The sequence below is a fragment of the Homo sapiens genome, chromosome 17, assembly GCF_000001405.40.
Source record: "Homo sapiens chromosome 17, GRCh38.p14 Primary Assembly".
In the NCBI taxonomy this organism is placed as follows: domain Eukaryota; kingdom Metazoa; phylum Chordata; class Mammalia; order Primates; family Hominidae; genus Homo; species Homo sapiens.
Window position 1 is genome coordinate 47,303,262 of NC_000017.11, and position 26,709 is coordinate 47,329,970.

Here is a 26,709-nt window from a genome sequence, read left to right on the forward strand (position 1 = left end):
AAACAACAACAACAACAAAAAAAAACGATAAGTTAGGGACCGTCATCTGGGTGAAGGGCATTTATAAATACAAATATTATCAAGAAAGTGACTTGTTAATTGAGGAGACAGGAAAATCAGAAAGCAGGTAAGGAGAAGAAGATAGATATGGATCTCATTAATGGACAAAATATATCACGCATTTTTTTGAGGCAATGATGTCAAGAAATAAAGAATTTAAATTTTAGGACTTTACAGCACATGGCATCTGCACTATTAAAATTGAGATGGTTGCCAAGAGCAACTTGACTGTGCTTCAGAGGAAGGCCTGATGGTTAGAGGTGTTACCTTTCCAAGTTTACTGCAGGATGTAGGGATAGGTTTGAGGCACTAAGGCAAGGCTGCCCTGAACACTGAAAGTACAGTGCCTTCTGGGAGCAGGAGGAATCCATCCCATCATACACAGACCAGCCACAGGTTTGTCACCAACCAATGCTGTCGATCGCTTGCTTCCCTTTAACACCTTCATGGCCTTTGTTCTCCTTAAACAACAGGTTAAGATGAATTATTAGAAAACATTTTTGAGTATTCACTGCCAGTAGACCCCTTCCCCCACATTAGGAGAACAGACCCCAGATCCATAGACCCACGTTTCCTATCTTTTTTTTTGAGATAGGGTCTCATTTTGTTGCCCAGGTTGGGGTGCAGTGGTGCGACCTTGGCTCACTGCAGTCTCAACCTCTTCGGCTCACACAATCCTCCCATCCCAGCCTCCCTGGGACTACAGGCGTACACTACCACACCTGGCTACTTTTTAATTTTTATTTTTTTGTAGAGATGAAGTCTCACTATGTTGCCCTGGCTAGTCTCAAAACTCTGGGACTCAAGTGATCCCCCCGCCTCAGCCCCCCGCAAAGTGTTGGGATTACAGGTGTGAGCCAACACACAGGGCCAACATTTCCTATGTTGTTGCTCTGGAATTCTAGGCTCCGCCTCCCTGCTCATCTCCCAGCTCCAATCATTTCCTGGCTTTGAGTAGAATGTTGCAGCTGGGGCCTCAGACAGTGGGGGAGATGATTCTCTTTCTCTTCCCCAACTCATGCTCTTGCAGATGCTCTCTTTGAAGGGCTAAGCCACTATAGGGCAGTAAAGACAACACTGCCAAAAGTTTTGGCATTGGCCAAATGGAATTTAACCACATGGAATGGGCTCTTGAGCTGGGCTCTTATCACTCCCAGATGGGGTTACCAAATAAAATACACTAGGTCCCATGCAGTATTTGGTACACAATGATAGTAAAAAATAATCATTTATCTGAAATTCAGATTTGTCTTGGCTTCCTGCTTTTTTTGTTTTGTTTTTGTTTTTGTTTTTGTTTTTGTTTTGAGACAGAGTCTTGCTCTGTTGCCCAGGGTGGAGTACAGCGGCGTGATCTTGGCTCACTGCAATCTCTGCCTCCCAGGTTCAAGCAATTCTCCTGCCTCAGCCTCCTGAGTAGCTGGGATTACAGGCGCCCACCACCACACCTGACTAACTTTTGTATTTTTAGTAGAGACAGGGTTTCACCATGTTGGCCAGGCTGGTCTTGAACTCCTGACTTCAAGTGATCTGGCTGCCTTGGCCTCCTGAAGTGCTGGGATTCCAGGTGTGAGCCACTGCACCTGGCCAAGCATCCTGTGTTTTTGTTTGCTGAATCTGCCAACCCTACCCAGACTTCTCTGACCTTGGGTCATTTGCCATTGGTCCACCGCTGTGGCTGGAAGGGCCCTCCAGAGGTCACCTGATCTTGCCTTCTGCTTCCAGGAAACCCACCCCAAACTCCTTTCAGGACACATGGTTAACAGATTGTTTTCCCCTAAAGACCTCCTGGCACCCTACCTGCCCTGCCCATACTAATGTGCAGAATTAAAGAGATTTTACTTTGATAATTGAGGGTCAGCCCTACCCAAATCTTCCAGAGAATCCATAATTGTTTTTCCCAGAACTGGGGCCCTTCACTCTTGGGAACTTGAACACTGGAACCTCACAGCCTCTCTCCAGGCACTCATTTAATTATAGACAGGTTGTAATTTGGCGGGTTGGGAGATAGCCAGCTTGAGTTATGGTGGTGGTTGTTTTTGTGGTGTGTGTGGTGAGCATTGGGTATATGTTTGGCGAAGAAGGTGGGAGACAGTGTGGAAAGTGGGTGTGACTTCCTCTCCAGGCTCATTAGCACCCTCATATATAAACACCTGGTTTCATAACACTTGAGGTTACTGGAATAAGATCACCTATTAGATACCTGACATTTGTGGGAAGCAGAGCTCTGCAGAGTATACTCAGCCTGACCCCCAGAGGGGTGACATGCCTCTGTTTTAGTTGTTGACTGGGGTTGAACAGGAAGGCAGCTTTCAATAGGGTTATGATTTTAGATGACTAAGTATTTTGGGAAAGAACCCAAAATATTGTCTTGGCTGGCAGGTCCTGGTCTCTAAGAATGCAAAAAATGTCATTAGGTTCACAGCCCTCAGGAATGTAAATATCTGAACCAGGATAACAGACACAAATACTTACAGTGGCTAAGGAAGCAAATAAGTTAGTGAAAACAGCTGGGTGTAAGAAGATCCGTTACAACGGTAGCTGATATTTACTGAGCACTTACTCTGTGCCAGGCATTGTTCTGAGTTTTTAAGATATATTTAATTTAATCATTCCTCATAACAAGTTTCTTTTAAAGTCAGTGCTATTACTATCTTCATTTTAAAGATGGAGAAACAGGAAACAGACATTCAGAAAGGTTAAGTAATTTTCCAAAGATCATGTATAAAAGTTAAGTGATAAGTCAGGATTCAAACCCAGGGAGTCTGGCTGTAACATCCACAGGAGCGCAGACACACCAACAAGTCACACTGCCTTCCTCTAGGAGAGAGAAGGGAGAGTGGTGGGGATTCTGGTAAACTAGAAAACATGAGTTCCAACTAAAAGGAGCAGCTCCTCCTCAGCTCTAGCTAACTGCTGCTCTGCAGGAATATAAGAATCTCTCTCTTTCTGTATTTCTCTCTTTCTTTCTTTTGAGATAGTCTCTCCCTCTGTCATCCAGGCTGGAGAGCAGTGGCACGATCATGGCTCACTATGACCTTGACCTCCCAGGCTCAAACGATCCTCCCACCTCAGCATCCTGAGTAGCTGGGACTACAGGCATATGCCACAATGCCTGGCTAATTAAAAAAGACAATTTTGTAGAGGCAGAGCCTCACTATGTTGCCCAGGCTGGTCTTGAACTTCTGGACTCAAGCTGTCCTCCTGCCTCGGCCTCCCAAGTGCTGGCATTATAGGCATGAGCCACTGGGCCTGGCCTGGATTTTCTTTTTAAAGAGACTAATATGAAATTTTAGGGGGAGAATCTCCTGATTATTCAATATTGCCAATAAAGTCAATTTTTTATTTCTTATTCATTTATTTATTTATTTATTTATTTTGAGATGGAGTTTTGCTCTGTTACCCAGGCTGGAGTGTAATGGTGTGATCTCGGTTCACTGCAACCTCTACCTCCCAGGTTCAAGTGATTCTGTGCTTCAGCCTCCCAAGTAGCTGGGATTACAGGTGCTCGCCACCATGCTAGGCTAATTTTTGTAGTTTTAGTAGAGATGGGGTTTCACCATGTTGGCCAGGCTGGTCTCAAACTCCTGACCTCAGGTGCTCTGCCCACCTTGGCCTCCCAAAGTGCTGGGATTACAGGTGTGAGCCACCACACTCGGCTTTTTATTTTTAATTTTTTAAAAAACTTTTATTTTTGCTTTAGGGGTACATGTGTGGGTTTGTTCCGTAGATAAACTGTGAGTCATGGGGGTCTGGTGTACCTATTATTTCATCACCCAGGTAATAAGCATAGTGACTCATAGGTAGTTTTTCGATCCCCACCTCCTCCCCGTCTCCACCCTCAAGTAGGTCCCAGTGTCTGGTGTTCTCTTCTTTGTGTTTAATTTTTAAAATAAACACTTGGGTGAACCCCCACACAAAGGTGTGGCTGGGTTCTGTCTAGGGGTTACCAGGTCTAGACTTCTGATTTGAGCCACTCAGTGCAGATTATTGCTGTCCTAATGATTGTCTCCTTAAAAAAATTAATTTTTGAAAACTGTCCTATTTCCTTCAAGGACCTTAGTTACTTTGTCAAGAACACCTTTTTCATAGCCAGTTCAAGTGACTCCTGCTTCATTCACAACCGCCCTGCTCTGTGCTTCTTCCTCACAGAGTGTCCCAAGGGCCCTGACATCCTGGTGGTCCTGCTCTCAGTGATGGGGGCCATTCTGCTCATTGGCCTTGCCGCCCTGCTCATCTGGAAACTCCTCATCACCATCCACGACCGAAAAGAATTCGCTAAATTTGAGGAAGAACGCGCCAGAGCAAAATGGGACACAGTAAGAGACGGGGCTGGGCGTTTTCTAAAGTCATTGGTCTGAGACTCTTAAGTGGAAGCAGCAGATGCTTTGGGTGGTCATGTTCAGCCAGTACCATCGTCTTTCCATTATCCTCTGTTCTGGAAACTGGGAGAGATGGTCTCACTATCCCCTTGTCCTTCAGCTTCCTTCAGCCTCTTAGAAATAGTGGCAGGATGTCATTCCATCTCATTCTCTTCTTTCTCCTCAAATAAATGGTTACTTCCAGGCTGGGCCTGGTGGCGCGTGCCTGTAATCCCAGCACTTTGAGAGGCCAAGGTGGGCAGATCACTTGAGCTCAAGAGTTCGAGACCAGCCTGGGCAACATGGTGAAACCCCGTCTCTATTAATAATATAAAAATTAGCCGGGTGTGGTGGTGCATGCCTGTAATCCCAGCTATTCGGGAGGCTGAAGCAGGAGGATTGCTTGAACCCAGTAGGTAGAGGTTGTAGTGAGCTGAGATTGCACCCTGCTCTGGGTGACAGAGCAGGACTCGGTCTCAAAAATAATAATAATAATAATAATAATAATAAAATAAAATAAAAGGTTACTTCCAAATCAGACTCTACTCTTTTATCCTGATTTATTCCAATTAAATAAGCATTTACTGAGAACTTTCTATATACTTAATCTTACTCTATTCTCTTTTGGCTCTTCTTTCACATTTCAACTTTTTTCCTCGACCCTCCAAATGGCTATTTGACTCCCCAAATGTCCAGAGTTAGGCTGCAAGTTTGTTCCCATTTGATGTTGACCCCAGAGCTTTATACTCAAGGGTCCCAAGAAACTGAGATGTTTCTGTTAGAACAGTGTGGAACATCCTGTACCTATGAGGCCCACAGGAATGTGTTTCTTTCTCTTTTTTTTTGGAGACAGAGTCTTGCTCTGTCACCCAGGCTTGAGTGTAGCGATCTTGGCTCACTGCAACCTTGGCCTCTCAGGTTCAAGTGATTCTCCTGCCTCAGCCTCCCAAGTAACTGGATTACAGGCGCCAGCCACTGTGCCCAGCTATTTTTTGTATTTTTAGTAGCGACGGGGTTTCACCATGTTGGCCAGGCTGGTCTCGAACTCCTGACCTCGTGATCACCCGCCTCGGCCTCCCAAAGTGCTAGGATTCCAGGCGTGAGCCACTGCGCCTGGCTAAGAATGTGTTTCTTGAAGCTACCATTATAGGATTTGTTACTTTCTGTTGGAAAATAGTTTGGGAAACCTAGTGAGGGTCTTACTTTTTCCTGATAACATGACAGTTTGTGGATAGTGCTTTCTCTTTCTCTCCCCTCCTCTCCCATTCCCTCCCCTCCCCTCCCCTCTCCTCCCCTCCCCTTCCTTTTACGCTTCCTCCCCTCCCCTTCCCTTCCTCCCCTCCTCTCCTTTTCTTTCCCTTCCCTTCCCTCCTTCCTTCTTTTTTTGAGACAGGGTCTCGCTCTGTCACCCATGCTGGAGTGCAGTGGTGCCATCATGGCTCAATGCAGCCTCCATCTCCTGGGCTCAAGTGATCCTCCCACCTCACCCTCCCAAGTAGCCAGGACTACAGGCACACATCACCGAGCCAGCTAATTTTTGTATTTTTTTCCCTTGTAGAGACAGGGTCTCACTCTGTTACCCAGGCTGGTCTAGAACTCCTGGGCTCAAGTGATCTTCCTACCTTGGCCCCTAAAAGTGCTGGGATTATAGGCATAAACCACCATGCCTGGCCATGGTTAGTGCTTGGCCAGATTAGATGAAAACAAATTAATAATTATTTGAGCAAAAGCTTTCCTCTGTGTTCTGAATTGCACCTGATACATTTCTGTCCCTTGTCCACATCTCCTATCACTGTCACAGGGAATGGAAAATAGGAGAAGGGCAAAAGAGACGGGGACACAGGGGTGAAATAGGAGAGGTTCTATCCCCGAATGCTGTGGAATCACTGAAGAGTGATAGGCTGAATATAGCTCCTTAGAAATAGTGGCAGGGAACAGGTGTGGTGGCTCATGCCTGTAATTCCAGCACTTTGGGAGGCTGAGGCAGGTGGATCGCTTGAGCTCAGGAGTTTGAGACCAGCCTGGGCAACATGAAGAAACCCCATCTCTACAAAAAAATGCAAAAATTAGCCAGACATGGTGGTGTGTGCCTGTAGTCCCAGCTACTTGGGAGGCTGAGGTGGGAGGATGTCTTGAGTCAGGGGAGGTGGAGGTTTCAGTAAGCCGAGATTGTGCCACTGCACTCCAGCCTGGGCAACAAAATGAGACCCTGTCTGAAAAAAAAAAAAAAAAAAAGAAACGGTGGCAGGATGGCATTCTACCTCATCTCCTCCTGTTATTTCCTATCAATTCCCATGCCAAGAACTAAAGTGTGAGCAAAATGAACATTATTCTGTTTCATTGATGATGTATTCCAGAGAACGGTGCCTTGGGAAAACTTCTGAGATGAATTTTAAACATTCAGGGTAGGGAAGGACTTAAGGAAGTCACTGTAAGATGCTATTCTGTTTCCTCCACAGGCCAACAACCCACTGTATAAAGAGGCCACGTCTACCTTCACCAATATCACGTACCGGGGCACTTAATGATAAGCAGTCATCCTCAGATCATTATCAGCCTGTGCCACGATTGCAGGAGTCCCTGCCATCATGTTTACAGAGGACAGTATTTGTGGGGAGGGATTTGGGGCTCAGAGTGGGGTAGGTTGGGAGAATGTCAGTATGTGGAAGTGTGGGTCTGTGTGTGTGTATGTGGGGGTCTGTGTGTTTATGTGTGTGTGTTGTGTGTGGGAGTGTGTAATTTAAAATTGTGATGTGTCCTGATAAGCTGAGCTCCTTAGCCTTTGTCCCAGAATGCCTCCTGCAGGGATTCTTCCTGCTTAGCTTGAGGGTGACTATGGAGCTGAGCAGGTGTTCTTCATTACCTCAGTGAGAAGCCAGCTTTCCTCATCAGGCCATTGTCCCTGAAGAGAAGGGCAGGGCTGAGGCCTCTCATTCCAGAGGAAGGGACACCAAGCCTTGGCTCTACCCTGAGTTCATAAATTTATGGTTCTCAGGCCTGACTCTCAGCAGCTATGGTAGGAACTGCTGGGCTTGGCAGCCCGGGTCATCTGTACCTCTGCCTCCTTTCCCCTCCCTCAGGCCGAAGGAGGAGTCAGGGAGAGCTGAACTATTAGAGCTGCCTGTGCCTTTTGCCATCCCCTCAACCCAGCTATGGTTCTCTCGCAAGGGAAGTCCTTGCAAGCTAATTCTTTGACCTGTTGGGAGTGAGGATGTCTGGGCCACTCAGGGGTCATTCATGGCCTGGGGGATGTACCAGCATCTCCCAGTTCATAATCACAACCCTTCAGATTTGCCTTATTGGCAGCTCTACTCTGGAGGTTTGTTTAGAAGAAGTGTGTCACCCTTAGGCCAGCACCATCTCTTTACCTCCTAATTCCACACCCTCACTGCTGTAGACATTTGCTATGAGCTGGGGATGTCTCTCATGACCAAATGCTTTTCCTCAAAGGGAGAGAGTGCTATTGTAGAGCCAGAGGTCTGGCCCTATGCTTCCGGCCTCCTGTCCCTCATCCATAGCACCTCCACATACCTGGCCCTGTGCCTTGGTGTGCTGTATCCATCCATGGGGCTGATTGTATTTACCTTCTACCTCTTGGCTGCCTTGTGAAGGAATTATTCCCATGAGTTGGCTGGGAATAAGTGCCAGGATGGAATGATGGGTCAGTTGTATCAGCACGTGTGGCCTGTTCTTCTATGGGTTGGACAACCTCATTTTAACTCAGTCTTTAATCTGAGAGGCCACAGTGCAATTTTATTTTATTTTTCTCATGATGAGGTTTTCTTAACTTAAAAGAACATGTATATAAACATGCTTGCATTATATTTGTAAATTTATGTGATGGCAAAGAAGGAGAGCATAGGAAACCACACAGACTTGGGCAGGGTACAGACACTCCCACTTGGCATCATTCACAGCAAGTCACTGGCCAGTGGCTGGATCTGTGAGGGGCTCTCTCATGATAGAAGGCTATGGGGATAGATGTGTGGACACATTGGACCTTTCCTGAGGAAGAGGGACTGTTCTTTTGTCCCAGAAAAGCAGTGGCTCCATTGGTGTTGACATACATCCAACATTAAAAGCCACCCCCAAATGCCCAAGAAAAAAAGAAAGACTTATCAACATTTGTTCCATGAGCAGAAAACTGGAGCTCTGGCCTCAGTGTTACAGCTAAATAATCTTTAATTAAGGCAAGTCACTTTCTTCTTCTTAAAGCTGTTTTCTAGTTTGAGAAATGATGGGATTTTAGCAGCCAGTCTTGAAGGTCTCTTTCAGTATCAACATTCTAAGATGCTGGGACTTACTGTGTCATCAAATGTGCGGTTAAGATTCTCTGGGATATTGATACTGTTTGTGTTTTTAGTTGGGAGATCTGAGAGACCTGGCTTTGGCAAGAGCAGATGTCATTCCATATCACCTTTCTCAATGAAAGTCTCATTCTATCCTCTCTCCAAACCCGTTTTCCAACATTTGTTAATAGTTACGTCTCTCCTGATGTAGCACTTAAGCTTCATTTAGTTATTATTTCTTTCTTCACTTTGCACACATTTGCATCCACATATTAGGGAAGAGGAATCCATAAGTAGCTGAAATATCTATTCTGTATTATTGTGTTAACATTGAGAATAAGCCTTGGAATTAGATATGGGGCAATGACTGAGCCCTGTCTCACCCATGGATTACTCCTTACTGTAGGGAATGGCAGTATGGTAGAGGGATAAATAGGGGGCGGGGAGGGATAGTCATGGATCCAAGAAGTCCTTAGAAATAGTGGCAGGGAACAGGTGTGGAAGCTCATGCCTGTAATTATAACCTTCAGCTACTAAGACAGGTGTGGTGGCTCACGCCTGTGATTATAATCTTCAGTTACTAAGACAGAGTCCATGAGAGTGTTAATGGGACATTTTCTTTAGATAAGATGTTTTATATGAAGAAACTGTATCAAAGGGGGAAGAAAATGTATTTAACAGGTGAATCAAATCAGGAATCTTGTCTGAGCTACTGGAATGAAGTTCACAGGTCTTGAAGACCAATATTATTTGTCAATATGTGGGGATAACCTGTAGCTGCATTCATGAGGTAGCAAATAGCAGTTTTGGCCTGTGGGGTGAACAGCTAAACAGTGTTCTGGCATCAGATAACACGGCACAAAGGGATTGTGTCTAGCTCTTTTGGAGAAAATTTATGTCCAGTCTCAGGATCTGTGGACAATAACGGAAAACTTTGAATATTCCTGACAAGTTGCCATATTAGGAGTCAGTTCTTTACTTCTCTGAGATTCCCAGGTCATCCATGATTTTTTTTTTAATTTGAGACAAAGCCTCACTCTTGTTGCCCAAGCTGGAATGCAATGGCAAGATCTCAGTTCACTGCAATCTCTGCCTCTCAGGTTCAAGCCATTCTCCTGCCTCAGCCTCCCCAGTAGCCGGGATTACAGGCACCCGCCACCACACCCGGCTAATTTTTGTATTTTTAGTAGAGACGGGGTTTCACCATGTTGGCCAGGCTGGTCTCGAACTCCTGACCTTAGGCGATCCACCTTCCTCGGCCTCCCACAGTGCTGGGATTACAAGTGTGAAGCACTGTGCCCGGCCAGTCATCCATGATTTTAATGGGGTCCAAAGGCCTCTTTTTCTTTGTTAAGTATTCCTGGTTGAAATTTCTTTTCTTTTTTTTTTTTTTTTTGAGACAGAGTCTTGCTCTATCACCCAGGCTGGAGTGCAGTGGCACGATCTCTGCTCACTGCAAGCTTCGCCTCCCGGGTTCACGCCATTCTCCTGCCTCAGCCTCCCGAGTAGCTGGGATTACAGGCACCTGCCACCACGCCCGGCTAATTTCTTTTTGTATTTTTAGTAGAGACGGGGTTTCACGGTGTTAGCCAGGAAGGTCTCGATCTCCTGACCTCGTGATCCTCCCGCCTCGGCCTCCCAAAGTGCTGGGATTACAGGCGTGAGCCACTGCCCCCGGCTGTGGTTGAAATTTCTTAAGTGCCTTCCTCACTTCCTAACCACCTTCTCTGTTTGGGTTTGTGCAACAGTAAATTAAATGTACTTTCCAAAAAGAATTGGCCTAAGGCTGCTCAGTGCTTCCTGTGTTGTTATTTCTGTTTCCTTTGGATGAAAAGAATAGGTGTCATTGACTCAGAAATGATTATTTTAGAACAAGCATGTTTCCAAATGTAACAGAATGATGACTACTATGGGTACTGAAGCTAGCTTCAGAATCCAGAGCTTCTCTTTAGATTTTTTTGTTGTTGTTGTTGAGATGGAGTCTCGCTCTGTTGCCCAGGCTGGAGTGAAGTGAGCGCGATCTCGGCTCATTGCAACCTCTGCTTCCTGGGCTCAGGAGATTCTCCTGCCTCAGCCTCCCGAGTGGCTGGGATTACAGGCGCCCACCACCATACCTGGCAAATTTTTGTATTTTTATTTATTTTTGAGATGGAGTCTCTCTCTGTTGCCCAGGCTGGAGTGCAGTGGTGTGATCCCTGCTCACTACAACATCTGCCTCCGGGGCTCAAGCAATTCTCCTGCCTCAGCCTCCTGAGTAGCTGGGATTACAGGTGTGCATCATCACATCCGGCTAATTTTTGTATTTTTAGTAGAGACAGGGTTTCACCATGTTGGCCAGGCTGGTCACAAACTCCTGACCTCAACTGATCCGCCGGCCTCGGCTTCCCAAAATGCTGGAATTACAGGTGTGAGCCACCAGGCCCGGCCCTCTTTAGACTTAATATTTTTTAAATGAGTAGGTTATTACTGTTCTAAGAGTTTGCGGTTTTTTTTTTTTAATTGGGTATTATTTAGGAACTTGTGCAACCTCAAAAGAACAGACTGCCAGTGTAGCCTAGATTTTGTTTGTAGGAAGCATAAATGGATAAAATAATAGCTTAATGGCAAATTATTTACAGGACCATTTAAATGCCTAAATTTTATTTAAGGCAGTGGGTGTCAAAGTGTGGTCCCAAGACCAGCAACATCAATATCAGCTGGAAACTTGTTAGAAATGAAAATTGACAGGCCCCACCCCACAGCTGCTGAATCAGAAAATCTGGGAGTGGGGACCCATGATCTGTTTTAAGAAGCCTCCCTGGTGATTCTAATTCATGCTCAAGTTTAAGAACAACTGATTTAAGGAATCACATATTTAGCCTTCTTGCCTAGAAAGAACTTTATAGTAAGGCAGCTTAGTTACTATATACAGTTAATAGCAAACCTTGCCTGACATACTCAGAAGATGAAATATCCACCCACACAAAATGAAAATCTACTTTGACCTATTTTCCAGGTTAAATGATCTTGGGTATCTTGCTTTCACTCATGACCACAAATTCCCATGAAAAACTGGAAGAATAGAATCCTGGGGAAAAACTAACAGGATACTTTTTATGTGTACTAAGACACAAGCAAGGAAATATTCTTACAGAATTTATTCACAGGAGATAGGATCAAAATCTTAATTATTAACATTATCATCCTATAGGATGCTAGAATAATACTTAGAATTTTTTACTTTACAGCCAAAAGGCTGTTTAAAATTTATTGAACACCAACAGTGTGGGACTGAAGTACCTTACAGAACACTGATAACATAATCTTTGTCTTTAAGTCCTTTTTTTTTTTTTCAGACGGGATCTCATTTTGTTGCCAGAATGCAGTGGCATCATCATGGCCACTGCAGCCTTGACCTCCCAAGCTCAAGGGATTCTCCTGCCTTGGCCTTCCAAAGCGTTGGGACTACAGACACATGCCACCATACTCGGCTAATTAAATACATATTTTTTTGTAGAGATGAGGTCTCACTATATTGCCCCGGCTGGTCTCAAACTCCTGGGCTCAAGCAATCCTTCCACCTTTACCTCCTAAAGTACTGGAATTACAAGTGTGAGCTACGGTGCCTGGCCTGAGTCTTAAATTCCTAACATAATGTACATTTTTTGAGCATAATACAATACATGACATCATTAAGAGATTACGTGAACATAGACTGAGACCTTTTATGGTGAAATCTTGTGAGATTCACTATGTTTTATTTACGTCTTGGTAACTGCTGACTAAATGTCTGGATGAAAATAGAGGATCTTATGTAAAATGAGATGAAAAGCTATATGTCAAGCCACATTTGTAATCCTTTAACGCTTGGCTTCGGTAGTCCAAACTCTACAGTAACAGAGCCATCTAATGGCCACTGGGACCAATTACAAGCAGATTGCCTGGGAATTACTCAGTTTTCACAGTATAATGGAACCATAACGTATGCTCTGCAAATAAGCCATTTAAAAATCATTTCTAATTGGTTTTATAATACAATATATTTATGGAAGTATATATTCCTAATTTGTTTTAGTTTGGTTAAAACATGCAAGGAGGCAGTCTTAGAAGCTTGTGATTAGGGTTAAGTATATCATTACATAAAAATTTAAAAATCCACTTAATGTGGCTACCTAAGAATGGTTTGTATGTGAAAAGAAAATGAAGAGGTCAGGAACATGACTGCCTTCCTTGAGGCTGCTAATGTTATAATGAAGCCCCTCCAACTCCTTGCATAAAGGAAACACTTTCATCAGCTGTATATTTTCTGACACATCAAAGATTGCTCACAGAAAGCACCATTTAGAAAATTTAGGAGCCTTTAAACAAAATGTCCATTTTAAATTATTCTTTAGCAGTGTCCCCAATAAGAACTTGTAAGGAAAACGTTTCACAATTGATTTCATTTTAGTATAGTAATTGGATTTTCCAGTGACTCATACAGAATTGGCTTGATTCTTTGGAGAGATCACAGTGATGATGTGTAAATATCGCTTTGGTGGCCAATGGAAATACTTCGTTAAGAAATTGGAAAAAAATGTTGATGGGTGTGTGCTGGACTTTGCCTTTCCTGACCCTTACACTCACCATTGTGACAGAGATTGCTGATTGTGCCCAGTATGTTTTCTCCTTCTCACATAATATTAGAACTTCTGCTGTTTAGTTGGGCACATGGTTGCCCAGAATAAATATTCTTTTATTACTAATAAGCAAATTTAGTAAAGTTGCTAGATACAAAGAGCATGCAAAAATCTTGTAGCTACATGTGCCATGTCCATCTCATAGACAATGAGATGTAAATGAAAGAGGTGTATGCAACTTCCAGTAAATGCTGTTTAAGGGAAGGAACATACTTTTCTCCATTTCCTTCATCTTGCAGGCGGGAATGCAGAGTTAATACCTAGAAGTTAAGTAGCCCTCATAGCTCAATATGTGACCTTGGGGATTGTATTATTTTATTTATTTTTAAAATTTTTTTAAGGAGGTAAGGTCTTGCTTTGTTGCCCAGGTTGGACTCGAACTCCTGGGTTCAAGCAATCCTCCCACCTCAACCTCCCCACGTAGCTGGGACTACAGGTGCATGCCACCACACCCAGTGGGGATTGTATTAGTTATCTGTTGCTGCATAAGAAATTACTCCACAATTTAGTAGCTTAAAACAACAAACATTATCTTGCTGTTTCTGTGGTCAGGAATTTAGGAATGGCTTAGCTGGGTGGTTCTGGCTCAGAGACTCTCATGAGGTTGGAGTCAAACTGTTGGCCAGGGCTGTAGTCGGTTGAAGGCTAAAAAGGGCTGGAGAATCCTTTTCTAAGATGGCTTACTCACATGGCTGTTGGCAGGAGGCATCAATTCCATGCTGGCTATTGGCAATAGACCTTAGTTCCTCACCACTTGGATATCTCTATAGGACTGCTTGAGTGTCTGCATGACATGTCAGCTAGTTTCTCCCAGCGGGAGTAATCCAAGAGAGAACAGGGAGGAAGCTACAATTTTTTTATGACTTAGTTTTGTAAGTGTTACACCATAATTTCTGCCATACACTATTCATTAGAAGTAGCCCACTAAATCCAGCTAACATTCAAGAGGAGGGAAATAGATGCCACCTCTTGAAGGGAGGAGCATTGTGTACAGAATCATTGCCCCCCAAAGACAGCCACATCCCCATCTCCAGAACCTGTGAATATGTTACCTTACGTGGAACAAACAACTTTGTTGACATAATTAATGATCTTTAGATGAGGCAATCATCCTGGATTATCTGGGGAGGCTCAATGTAATCACAAGTGTCCTTATAAGAGGGGGTCAGGGCTGGGCTTAGTGGCTCATGCCTGTAATCCCAGGACTTTGGGAGGCTGAGGTGGTTGGATCACTTGAGGCCATGAGTTTGAGACCAGCCTGGCCAACATGGCGAAACCCTGTCTCTACTAAAAATACAAAAAAATTAGTTGGGCATGGTGGCACGCACCTGTAATCCCAACTACTTGTGAGGCCAAGGCATAAGAATCGCTTGAACCCAGGAGGCAAAGGTTACAGTGAGCCGAGATTGTGCCACAGCACTCCAGCCTGGATGACAGAGTAATACTCTGTCTCAAAAAAAAAAAAAAAAAAAAAAAAGAGAGGGAGTTAGGGGGGCCAGAGTGAGAGTGAATGGAAGTGGGTCAGACTGATATGGCCATAAGTCAAGCAATGTATACAGCCCGTAGAAGTTGGAAAAGGCAAAGAATGGATTCTCTTCCACGGCCTCAATAAGAAATGCAGCCTTTGATTTTAACACTGTAAGGCTCATTTTGTACTTCTGGCCTCCAGAAACTTGGGATGATAAATTTGTGCTATTTAAGCCACTAAGTTTGTGGTAATTTGTTACCACAGCATAGGAAATGAATACAAATATCAAAGTGTTTGTGGACATATTTTAAGACTACCTCAGGCAACCCTCTGGTCACAAATTATTTATAGTTCTCCCACATGCAAAATAAACTTACCCCTTCTAAGGCCCCAAAGTCTTATCCCATTATAGCATCAATTCAAAGTTCAGAATCTTATCCTCTACGTAAGTCCAGGGAAGATGAGACTTCTTGGGTGTAATTCCTTAAATACAGCTACTCAAGTACATGCTTTTCAATCTGAAGTTCTGCGAACAAAAAGAAAAAGGTCATATGCTCCTTTCCCCACAGCAACCAATGTAAAACAGCAGGGGCAGGGAGATAACTGCTATAGACACTCCTGTTCCAACAGGTGGAAACCAAGGTGCACAGAAGTCACTGGTTCATAGCAATTCTGAAATCCATTTGAGTACAGGTTTGCAGTTCTACACTCAAAGCCTGGGAATAACTCCCTATGGCTTTTGGTTCCACCTTCTGGGCTCTTGGTTTTATCCTCTAAGTCATCCTTTTTTGTGTGAAAGGGAGATGTGTTTGGACCTAAATAGTTTTCTTAGCCTGCTTCCTGTTTGTAGAAATGCGTTTGTAGAAAGGGTCCAAAGGCCCCTTTCCTTTTTGTACTCTTTTTCAGCTCAAGCTGACAGTATTTCTGACAATACAATTCTCTTAAAACAATTTTTGAATCTACTGTGAATCTTACTGGGTTTTAGTCCAGGAGACAAAAGCCATGGCAGCAAATACCTTTGAGATATGTCTTTTTCTACCTTGGGCTTCTGCTGAAGGACAAAGACCTTAAGTTTCTTAGAAGCCCTATTGTTTGAATGAGAGGACCTGTGAGCCATACTCTTAAAATCTTTTTTCTGAGACGGAGTCTTACTCTGTCACCGAGGCTGGAGTGCAGTGGCGAGATCTTGGGTCACTGCAATCTCCGCCTCCCGGGTTCAAGCAATTCTCCAGCCTCAGCCTCCTGAGTAGCTGGGATTACAGGCACCCGCCACCACGCTCGGCTAATTTTTTTGTATTTTTGTAGAGATGAGGTTTCACCATGTTGGCCAGGCTGGTCTCCAACTCCTGACCTCAGGTGATCCACCCACCTCGGCCTCTCAAAGTGTTGGGATTACAGGCGTGAACCACTGCACCCAGCCACTCTTAAAATCTTTAGAGAGTCTTTGCCTGATTGAACAGTACTCCGAGGTACCATCCTTAAACACAACAGGCGTGGGGAGTGGGAAAGCGGGTGATGGAGGGTGGATTGAGGGGTATTTACAAAAATAAAAGACATGGTCTCAGCACTCAGATATTTCAGAATCTTTGGGGAGATAAACTATATACATTTAAAAAGCACTAAAGAATTACAGGTCATATCCCTAATGAGTATAGATACAAAAATCCTCAACAAAATACTAGCATACTGACTTCAACAATACATTCAAAGAATAATTCACCATGATCTAGTGGGATTTATCCCTGGGATGCAAGTATGGTTCAACATATGGGAATCTATAAATGTGATACACCACATAAACAAAAATCATATGATCATTTCAATAGATACATAAAAAGCATTTGATGAAATTAAACATCCTTTCATGATGAAAATTCTCAACAAATTAGGTATAGAAGGAACGTACCTCAACACAATAAAGGTCATATATGATAAGCCTACAGCTAACATTCTCAACAGTGAAAAGTTGAAGGCATTTCCTTTAAGATCAGGAACAAGAAAAGGATGCCCACTCTTACTGCTTTTTTTTTTTTCAACATAGCACTGGAAGTTCTAGTCAGAATAATTAAGCAAGAGAAATAAAAGGCATCTTAATAGGAAAGGAAGCATTGGAATTTTCTCTTTGTTGACAATATGATCTTATATATAGAAAACCCAAAAGACTCCACCAAAAAACTGTTAGAACTAATAAAGTCAGTAAAATTGCTGTACACAGTCAACACACAAAAATCAGCAGCATTTCTAGAGGCCAACAACAAATCCAAAAAAGAAATTAAGAAAATAATTCTACTTATATTAGCAAAAACCAAAACTGAAACAAAAAAGGTGTAAATTTAACCAAGAAAGTGAAAGATCTTTATACTAAAAACTAAAAAACACTGATGAAAGAAATTGGAAAAAACACAAATAAACGAAAAGACATCCCATGTTCTTGGAGTGGAATAATTAATATAATTAAAATGCCCATGCTACTCAAAGTGATCTATAGATTCAATGCAATTCCTATCAAAATTCCAGAGTTATTTTTCATGGAAATAAAAAAATCCTAAAATTCATATGGAACCGTAAAAGATCCCAAATAACCAAAGCAATCTTGAGCAAAAAGAACAAAGTTGGGCCAGGTGTGGTGGCTCACGCCTGTAATCCCAGTACTTTGGGAGGCCGAGGCGGGCAGATCATGAGATCAGGAGTTCAAGACCAGCCTGGCCAACATGGTAAAAAAAAAACCCCGTCTCTACTAATAATACAAAAAAATTAGCCAGGCGTGGTGGTGCGCGCCTCTAGTCCCAGCTACTTGGGAGGCTAAGGCAGGAAAATCACTTGAACCCAGGAGGTGGAGGTTGCAGTGAGCCGAGATTGTGCCACTGCACTCCAGCCTGAGAGACAGAGCCAGAATCCATCTCAAAAAAAAAAAAGCAAAAAAAAAACAAAGTTGAAGGCATCACAGTCCCTGACTTTAAAATAAACGACAAAGTTACAGTAATCAAAACAGCATGGTATTCCATAAAAACAGATGCATTGGCCAATAGAACATACTAGAGAGTCCAGAATTTACAGACAATTGAATTTTGATAAGGAGCCAAGAACACTCAATGGGGAAAGGAATCTCTTTGATAAAAACTGTTGGGAAACCATATATCCATGTGTAGAAAAATGAAATTGGACCCTTATCTCACACCGTATACAAAAGTCAAAATGGATTAAAGACTTACCTGTAAGACTGGAACTACTAGAAGAAAACATAGAGGGAAAGCTACTAGAAGAAAAAATAGAAGAAAGCCACTAGAAGAAAACAGGCGGAAAGCTCCACTACATTGGTCTGGGCATTTTTTTGGACATGACCTCAAGAACACAGGCGAGAAAACAAAAAATAAACACATGGAATTACATGAAACTAAAAACTTCTGCACATCAAAGGAAACAGTTAACAGAGTGAAGAGACAACCTGCTGAATGGGAGAAAATATTTACTAATTATACATCTGACAAGAGGTTAATATCCAAGATATACAAGAAACTCAGTAGCAAGAAAGCAAATAACCTGATTTTAAAAATAGACAAATAATCTGAATAGACTTTTAAAAAAAATTTTTTTTTGTAGAGATGAGGCTTCACTATGTTGCCCAGGCTGGTCTCAGATTCTTGGGCTCAAGCGGTCCTCCCACCTTGGCCTCCCAAAGTGCTGAGATTATGGGTGTGAGCCACCATGCCCAGCCTGACACAGCCATTCTTAAAAGAAGACATACAAATGGCCAACAGGTTTGCGAAAAAAAAAATCACTATTATTAGGGAAATGCAAAATAAGATTACAATATCACCTCACACCTGTTAGCATGGCTATTAAGCTGGGTGTGGTGGCTCACACCTGTAATCTCAGTACTTTGGGAGGCTGAGGTGGGCAGATTACTTGAGGGTCAGGCGTTTGAGACCACCCTGGCCAACATGGTGAAACGCCATCTCTACTAAAAATACAGAAATTAGCCAAGTGTGGTGGCACATGCTTGTAATCCCAGCTACTTGGGAGGCTGAGGCAGGAAGATTGCTTGAACCCAGGAATGGAGGTTGCAGTGATTTGAGATTGTGCCACTGCACTCCAGCCTGGGCAACAGAGTGACTCAATCTCAAAAAAAAAAAAAAAAAAAAAAAAAAAGAATTGCTATTATCAAAATGATGAAAAAAATGTGTTGCTGAGGATGTGGAGAAACCTTTTACACTGTTAGTGTTATTACAGCCATTATGGAAAACTATATGGAGGTTTCCCAAAAAATTAAAAATAGAACTACCATATGATCCAGCGATGCTATTTCTGGGCATATATTGAGTAACTGAAATCAGTATATCAAAGACTTATTTGCACTTCCATGTTCATTTCAGCATTATGCACAATCGCTGAGATAATGGAATCAACCTGTGTCCATCGATGGATGAATGGATAAAGAAAATGTAGTAAACATATGCAATGGATACTATTCAGCCTTAAAAAAGAATTTCTGTCATTTGTGACAACATGAATCAACATATGCAATGGATACTATTCAGCCTTAAAAAAGAATTTCTGTCATTTGTGACAACATGAATCAACTTGGAGGACATACTAAGTGAAAAAAGCCAGGCACAGAAAGACACATACCACATGATCTCACTTATATGTGGAATCTTAAAAAGTCAAACTCATAGAAGTAGACAGTAGAATAGTTGTTAGAGGCTGGAAAGGGACGGGGCGGGTAGGAGATGCAGGATGGGGAGATGCTGTTCAAAGGGTACAAGGTTCAGTCAGACAAAAGCAGCAAGTTTCTGAGATCTATTGCATAGTGTGGTGACTATAGCTAATAATAATATATCGTATATCTCAAAACTGCTAAGAGTAAATTTCAAATGTCTCACCATAAAAAACGTTAAACAAGGTGATGGATATGTTAAGCTTGACTTAGTCGTTCCATATTGTATACATATATTAAAATATAACATTGTACCCCATTAAATATTTACAATTATGATTTGTACATATATTTAATAATAATAAAAATCTAAATAAAATATTAAAGAATGCCTACAAAGCAAGGTTTAAGATGTAAATGAACACAGTAGTATCACGGAAGGGATTAAATATTGTAACATTTATTGAGCACTACGTATATATTTTTGAATTCCCACAACCCTGGAAGAATGAGAAAATCGAGACTCAGGGAGCGTTAAGTATTTTGCCCAACTGCATACGATAAATACATAGGAAAAACAAACACACAGAAGAAAACCAAACCAACCAAAGTATCTCTTTCAAAAGGAAACGACAGTCTCCTTAAAGGCAACCCGAGACAAATTTCAGCAAAGCCGTGGGACACATGGCCTTCGAGCTGCTGTCCATTATTGAGTAGCAGAAGCCAAGAAGGATGGAATGTTTTGGAAGAAAGGGGTCGGGGGTCGGGGTGTTCAAAGGACGGACCGAAGGTAAGATTGAAGTGGGGTCAGACCATGGCGGGACAGCGCACCGGAGAATGAACAGCGATTAGGGAAGAGTGGCGAGCGGGTGGCAAGGACGGAGGGCGGAATCCCGGCCGGGGCTGCGGGAGGAAAGCGCACGGACAGGAGCCCCACCGCTCGAATGCAGCGCCCGGCGGCTGGCCTCGTGAGGTCACAGGCCCTTACGAGGTGGGGCAGGCAGGCGCGGCCGCAGTGCCTTCCAGTCAGCGCGGAGGCGGTATTGAGTTCAGCCGCTCCCCACAGCCCCGGAGCCCCTGGGCGGTGGCGGTGGCCGCGGCAGCACCGGCTCGACAGCCGATAGGGTCCTGGGCCCGCTCCGCTCGGGGTGGTCGGTGGGCGGAGCGTCGGGCTCGGTCAGGTGACCGCGGGGGCGGGGCCGCGCGGCGCGGGATCCTGGGAAGGCTGCAGAGCTAGAGCAGCGCCGCCCGAGGGGCGGCAGGGGCTGACCACAGAGAGCGCGGGGGCCTCCAGCCGAGAGGAAGGGAGGGCAGCTCGGGCCGGTAGTGGGACCCTTGGGGGACAGAGGTGGGGAGGGGAGGCGAGACCCGCTGAGGAGTTGGGAGGGGAGCCTTCGAGGTGGAGGGTGGAGAATGCAGTAGGGTGCGAGGGAGGAAGGAGAACAGTGGTGGGGCTGGGTGAAGGAAGGTTCCAGAAAGGAACAGTGAGGGGACTGAGTGGGACAAAGGGGCAGATTGAAGGGTGACTGAGACTGATCAGGTGGTTCCTCAGAAATGGTGGTTGTTGTAGAAGGCTGGCGGTCCCGGGGGTGGTGTCACTTCCCTGCTCCTTCAGCGGGAGGCGGAGACCTCTATTAGCACACTCATTTCCATCTTGCGGGTCGTTCACTCGCTAGCTTACAGGTCCTCTTTCTTCCTGTAGAAGTCGTTGGCTTCGTAAGAGCAGGGTCTATGGGAAGCCTCCTCAGCGTGGGTTCTTGGAAGAGGTGGAGGTTCGTTCACTCGACGTTTGTTACACAAATATGAAAACAGGGTGACGAAAGTTTGAACGTTCATGAATGGCAGTAGCTGCAATGGAGTTGTGTATGCAGTTGGTATTAATGACGTTTTCAGTCCCTCTGGCGAGAGAAAAGCGAGCGAGTCGGGCGGCTTGTGAGGGAAATGTGGCATGAGAGGAAAGAGGAAGGTATTTTGTGAAAGGATGTCATACAGAGTCATGCTTCAGTGAAGACGCCTTTGTTTTTCTCATCTTAAAGCCTCACAGCCCCATTTTCCTCTCAGCTACTGCCTTATTTCTCTTAACAACGTAACTCCTTGAAAGAGCCTACCCTACTGGCTGGGTTCAATTTCTTTACCCCGTTCTCTCTTGTACTCACTCTGACGACATTGTCTCCTTACCACCCCACCCAGATGGCTCCTTTCAAGTTTGTCAGTGTCCTCCGTGTTGTGAAACCTAGCGAACCATTCAGTACTGATCTTAACCGCCCACCCCACCCCCCTTTTTTTTTTTTGAGACAAGGTCTCTGTCGTCCAGGCTGGAGTGCAGTGGTGCAATCATAGCCCACTGCAGCTTCAAACTCCTGGGCTCAAAAGATCCTCCTGGCTCAGTCTTTGGAGTAGCTGGGACTAAGGTCGCCATGTCCAGCTGATTAAAAAAAAAATTCTGTAGAGGTGGGAGTTTCACTGTTGCCCAGGCTGGTCTTGAACTCCTGGCCTTAAGCAGCCCTCCTGCTTAGACCCCCACCCCCGCATCAAAGTGTTGGGATTACCTGCATAAGCCACCATGCACAGCCTGATTGCTCACTCTTGAAGTACTTTCTTCACTTGGCATTCAGGAACCCAGACCTACCTGATTTCCCTCCTCACAGTAACCAGAGTGATCCTTTCAGAAAGAACTTCAGATTATGTAATCCTTCTCCTCAGAACTCTTTCAATGCTTGTCACTCCTTCAGAGTACAAGCCACAGTTCTTACTGTCATCTAGGGGTCCTCCATGATATGCCACTTTCACTTAGCCTCTCTGATCTCTCCTGCTTCAGCCTCCTGGGGCCTTCCCACTATTCCTTGAACATTCTTCTTGCCTCGGGGCTTTTGTACTTACTTTTCTTTCTGGCTGAAATGCTCTTCCCTAAGATATTAATCAGCTCCCTACTTCAGTTCTTGCAGGTCTGTACTCAAAAGTCTCCCTCTCAGTAAGGTCTTCCTTGGCCACCCATTCTGTTCCCTGCATCTCTTCCCCTATACTACATTTCATATTCCCCTCCCTGCTTTACTTTTTTTTTTGTACTTATTGCAGATAACATACAATATGTTTTATTTTTCTATTTTATTATTTCACTCCCTGACTAGAACATAAGCTTCATGAGGGCAGATTTTATATATATATAAACAAAATATATATATATATATATATATATATATATATATATATAGCATATATATATTTTGTTCATTGGTATATCCCTAGAGCCTAGGAGAGAACCTAGTGCACACTAAGCATGCAGACATATACGTTGAATTCATGGATAGAAAGGTGAATGGATAGATGACTGGAGAAAAGGGATACGACTCCCTCCATTTCTCTTGATTTGTTCCTGCAAGTTCACCGATAGAAGACAGGATTGAAATAGTTGAGAAAAATTATATTGTCAGAGTTACAGGGAATAGACTTTCTAAGTTAATTTTTTCTTTTAAGTTTGGAGAGGCTTATGCGGTACCTGATTCATCCAGCAAATTAAGACCTGCCAACTTTTTGATAATCTCGTCAATAAATTACAGAACAATTGTTCCTTTCAAGATTTATTCAAAACGTGTCAACTCTGCTTAATTAAGCACTTTGATGATTTAAGAAATCTTGGTGAGTAGCTTAGTAGGAAGGGAATTTGTTCATTCATCCCTCTCTCCCTCTCTTTTCCCCTCCCTCCATACCATTCCTCCTTTCCTCTACTCTTTCCTTCATTATATATATACCATTGTATTTGATACTGTGAGAAATAATTTTAAGAATGATAAGTTACCAGTCCCAGTTCTTTATAAATTTAGGCTATAGTTGGTATAGGAGCTATACATATGAAAAATACAAATACAAGGCAAATGATTAATGTCAGTTAAATAGTGAAGACAAGAATAGTGAAGGCAGTAAGTGCTATGCACAGTAGTTTAGAGGTAAATATTGAACTGGTTGGAGAAGATCTAGAAGAGATTACGTAGGATGGGTTACTGGGGAGACCTGCATAGATTTCCAGTATTTTCTGAGATGAGTATTTTCAATGTGGTTCTATTTTATTTTAACATATTTTGAATTCCAGGAATGTTGGACATATCACATTGAAAAATAATGACTATAAACATATGTCAGAAATAAATAAAAATGATTTTAAGTACTCTGTCTTCATTAGAATATTAATACTTGCAGTTAAACTTTACAAGAAAAAGACTGATGATTATAACTAGCAATGTAATATAATGTAATATAGCTAGCACTGTGATAAATAGCTCATAAAATGTAACTCAGATGTGAGTTGAAAATATGAAAATTTGAGGAATTTCTAAGTGTTGGTTATCACATTTGCATAATGTGAAAGTCTTGAGTTTGAAGTGAGGCTACACCATCTTTTCTTTCTTTATTTTGTTTTGTTTTCTTTTGTTTTGTTTTTTTTGATACAGAGTCTTGCACCCAGGTTGGAGTGCAGTGGCGTGGTCTTGGCCCACTGCAACCTCTGCCTCCTGGGTTCAAGCAGTTCTTTGCCTCAGCCTCCTGAGTAGCTGGGATTATAGGTGCGTGCCACCACACTCGGCTAATTTTTGTATTTTCAGTAGAGACGGGGTTTCATCATCTTGGCCAGGCTGGTCTTGAACTCCTGACCTCGTGATCCACCTGCCTTGGCCTCTCAAAGTGCTGGGATTACAGATGTGAGTCACCATACCTGGCCTTTTTTTTTATTTTTGAGACAGTCTCACTGTATATCCCAGGCTGGAGTGCAGTGGTGCGATCTTGGCTCACTGCAATCTCCGCCTCCCAGATTCAAGCGATTCTGCCTCAGCCTCCTGAGTATCTGGGATTATAGGCGCATGCCACCACGTCCAACTAATTGATTTGTATTTTTAGTAGATACGGGGTTTCACCATATTGACCAGGATGGTCTCAATCTCTTGACCTCATGATCCGCCCACCTCGGCCTCCCATAGTGCTGGGATTACAGACGTGAACCACTGCGCCCGGCCTACACCATCTTTTGTTTGCAGTAGCATTGTTTTGAAAGGCAATGTTCTATGGGACTGAAGACCACAGGCTTGGAGTTAAATTGTCTGAATTCAAATTCTGTCTCTACTATTTGCTGGCTGTGTGATCTTGGGAAACTTGACCTCTTCAAGTCTTTATCATGATATTTAGCACACAGTAAGCATTCAGTAACATGAGTGATTACTACTGTCTTAGCAGTTCTGCTTCTCAGGGTTTATTTAAATAAACAGATGTAATTGGATTTCTCAGCTTTGTATGCCATTTGAAACTGGATTTCTCAAACCACAAAAGGTAAAGTTAAGGAATTGGATGATCTGTGATTTATAGTCTACTAACTGCTTTTTCTAGTGTTTGCCCACATATCTGTGTTGGTGAAATGTTGTGTATCATACCCCAAGTCAGTGTTACATTGAAGAGATAACTTCAGGTAGGTAAATATAATTGCTTAAGTGTTCTAAACAAGCGTATGATTTCTTCTTTCTCTTTTTTTGGCAGGAAATCCTTTTGTACTATTGCTCATTCATACTTGTTCATCAAAGCCTGGAGTCCTTAAGGACAGAATTTACCTCTAAACAGAAAGATGGAAACTAAAGTACATTTATTCTGCCAGGTATTTATTTAAAACAGTTTCTAAAGATTTCTTCTTTCTTCTTTTTAAAATTAGTTTACATTACCTCATATTCATAATCAGTAAGCAAATTCATAGAGTAATAGTTATAAGGAACCTGGCCAAGTAACTGAGATGATGTTTGAGTCATTTTAGTGAACATGTATTGAACTCCCATCCCTACAACCCATATAATACTGAGAGATCTTCTGTGGTGTATGATGAGAGTATTTTGGTGGGGTACGGACCTGGATAATTTTTGTGGAGATCAAAAGGGTTAAACTTACATGAGAGGTTGTAGATAATGTAATTAATGATGTGAGAGTATAACCAAAAAATAATGTAGAGGACATCAAATTTCTTTAGCCCTCTTATCTGTACTTCAGAGTTTTATGCCCTTCTGTCTTTTTAGATGCCTCCACCTTTTTTTGCTAGTATTGTGTCAAATAAGACAAGTTTTTTCAAATAAAAACAAATCTGGACTTAGTAAGCAGAGACTTTATTCAAAATAATTATTGCAAGAGAAAAAAGGGACTATTGAAATTGGAAGAGGAGGAGGACTATTGCAATGGAAAGAATGCTGTGACCGTAAGATCTGTAGGTGTCTCAAGGGTTGGGCAGAAGTTTTCTTTTATAGAGAGACGCTGGAAAGAACCAGGTATGGGGAAATTGGATGAAATAGTAGAATGATTAGATAAGTAGATTGGAGAGTATTTTATCATGAAGTCAGTCTATTATATTCTGATTATCAGTGGGGATAAAACAGCTAATAATTTATGACGCAAAGAAAGGGAATTTTGAGGGGGTGTGTCTGGCATTGTCATAAGTAAACAAGGGGGGCATTCCAGAGTCTTACCTAAGTCATATGGGGAGGAGTGGTTTGCAGTAAGCCATTTTCCAGAACACAAAAGGGTGGGGGGATTCCTTTAACCCTCACTGTTTTCTGGGAGTTTAGGGCTCAAGTGAAATTCAGCATTGTCAATTGAGAGTCCTAATCTTTTAAATTTATCCTTGTTAAAGATCTGACGCTACTGTGTAAAACATGTACCTATACTATAGTCTGAAAAATAATCTCAGAGACTCTTGAAAAGTGCTGAGATATGTACTTTATATCATATATATACACATATATACATTTAAAATTTACCTTTTTATACCTACTACTTTGTTGATTTTGCCCTTATAAACTGATTTTGAAGATGAATTCTTAAAAATTAATATTAAAGTATCATACCGGTTTGTTTTCCTTAGACTGTATAATTTATACTTCACAGATGGCTCACCTTTTACTACAATGTTTCTGAGATTGTTTTCTTCTTCTGTGTCAAAAGCTTCTACTCTTTGTTTTCATTCACTTGGCCTTTGGTAACAGGTTTTTCTGTCTTTTTAGATTTCCTACCCCTTTTCCCCCTCAGCTTTCTATTTTGGGTCATTTTTTTCAATCTCTTTAGGAATCCTTTCATCATTTGTAATACACATCTCATCAAGGCAGCAAATCAAATTGCCTTTTTGAAACAACTTAAAGGTATGCCTTTGTTATAAGACAAATGATGCAGATTCTAAAAGTCACTGAAATAGTTCTGTTAATTT

The 26,709-nt window shown here is 42.7% G+C and overlaps 2 protein-coding genes and 1 long non-coding RNA gene across 14 annotated transcripts in view, besides 3 other annotated features; 2 read left to right on the top strand and 1 right to left on the bottom strand.

The window, feature by feature from the left end:
• ITGB3 (integrin subunit beta 3) overlaps positions 1 to 10,482 on the top strand; it is a 59,917-nt gene extending 49,435 nt beyond the window's left edge. The window contains exons 14-15 of the mRNA NM_000212.3: positions 4,210 to 4,376; positions 6,878 to 10,482. Of these exons, the coding sequence (NP_000203.2) occupies positions 4,210 to 4,376; positions 6,878 to 6,943 (233 nt within the window). The 3' untranslated portion in view covers positions 6,944 to 10,482. The remainder of the gene's footprint in view (positions 1 to 4,209; positions 4,377 to 6,877) is intronic.
• On the bottom strand, positions 182 to 20,640 carry EFCAB13-DT (EFCAB13 divergent transcript). Of its 2 annotated transcripts, none has more exons than NR_110880.1 (3): positions 20,428 to 20,640; positions 15,211 to 15,359; positions 182 to 521 (listed from the first exon to the last, which is right to left on the bottom strand). It is a non-coding gene; the product is annotated as an EFCAB13 divergent transcript (long non-coding RNA). The 2 variants fall into 2 exon arrangements; NR_110881.1 differs by lacking the exon at positions 20,428 to 20,640 and adding an exon at positions 20,276 to 20,352.
• Positions 20,423 to 20,832: a silencer, noted in NCBI's record as "silent region_8625". NCBI's record gives its function as "represses an Ori minimal core promoter by ATAC-STARR-seq in GM12878 lymphoblastoid cells {active_cell/tissue: GM12878}" and the evidence as "EXISTENCE:reporter gene assay evidence [ECO:0000049][PMID:35858748]".
• Positions 20,694 to 26,709, top strand: part of EFCAB13 (EF-hand calcium binding domain 13) — a 117,358-nt gene continuing 111,342 nt past the window's right edge. For 7 of the 11 annotated variants that reach the window (NM_152347.5, NM_001426587.1, NM_001426586.1 and 4 more), the window contains exons 1-4: positions 20,694 to 20,813; positions 21,193 to 21,262; positions 22,965 to 23,126; positions 25,008 to 25,122. In NM_152347.5, the coding sequence (NP_689560.3) occupies positions 25,093 to 25,122 (30 nt within the window). In that variant the 5' untranslated portion in view covers positions 20,694 to 20,813; positions 21,193 to 21,262; positions 22,965 to 23,126; positions 25,008 to 25,092. Of the gene's footprint in view, positions 20,839 to 21,192; positions 21,263 to 22,964; positions 23,127 to 25,007; positions 25,123 to 26,709 lie in introns of all 11 variants that reach the window. The other 4 variants (NM_001426585.1, NM_001426593.1, NM_001426589.1 and 1 more) reach the window with 3 other exon arrangements.
• Positions 21,173 to 21,262: an enhancer, noted in NCBI's record as "active region_12310". NCBI's record gives its function as "activates an Ori minimal core promoter by ATAC-STARR-seq in GM12878 lymphoblastoid cells {active_cell/tissue: GM12878}" and the evidence as "EXISTENCE:reporter gene assay evidence [ECO:0000049][PMID:35858748]".
• Positions 21,303 to 21,482: an enhancer, noted in NCBI's record as "active region_12311". NCBI's record gives its function as "activates an Ori minimal core promoter by ATAC-STARR-seq in GM12878 lymphoblastoid cells {active_cell/tissue: GM12878}" and the evidence as "EXISTENCE:reporter gene assay evidence [ECO:0000049][PMID:35858748]".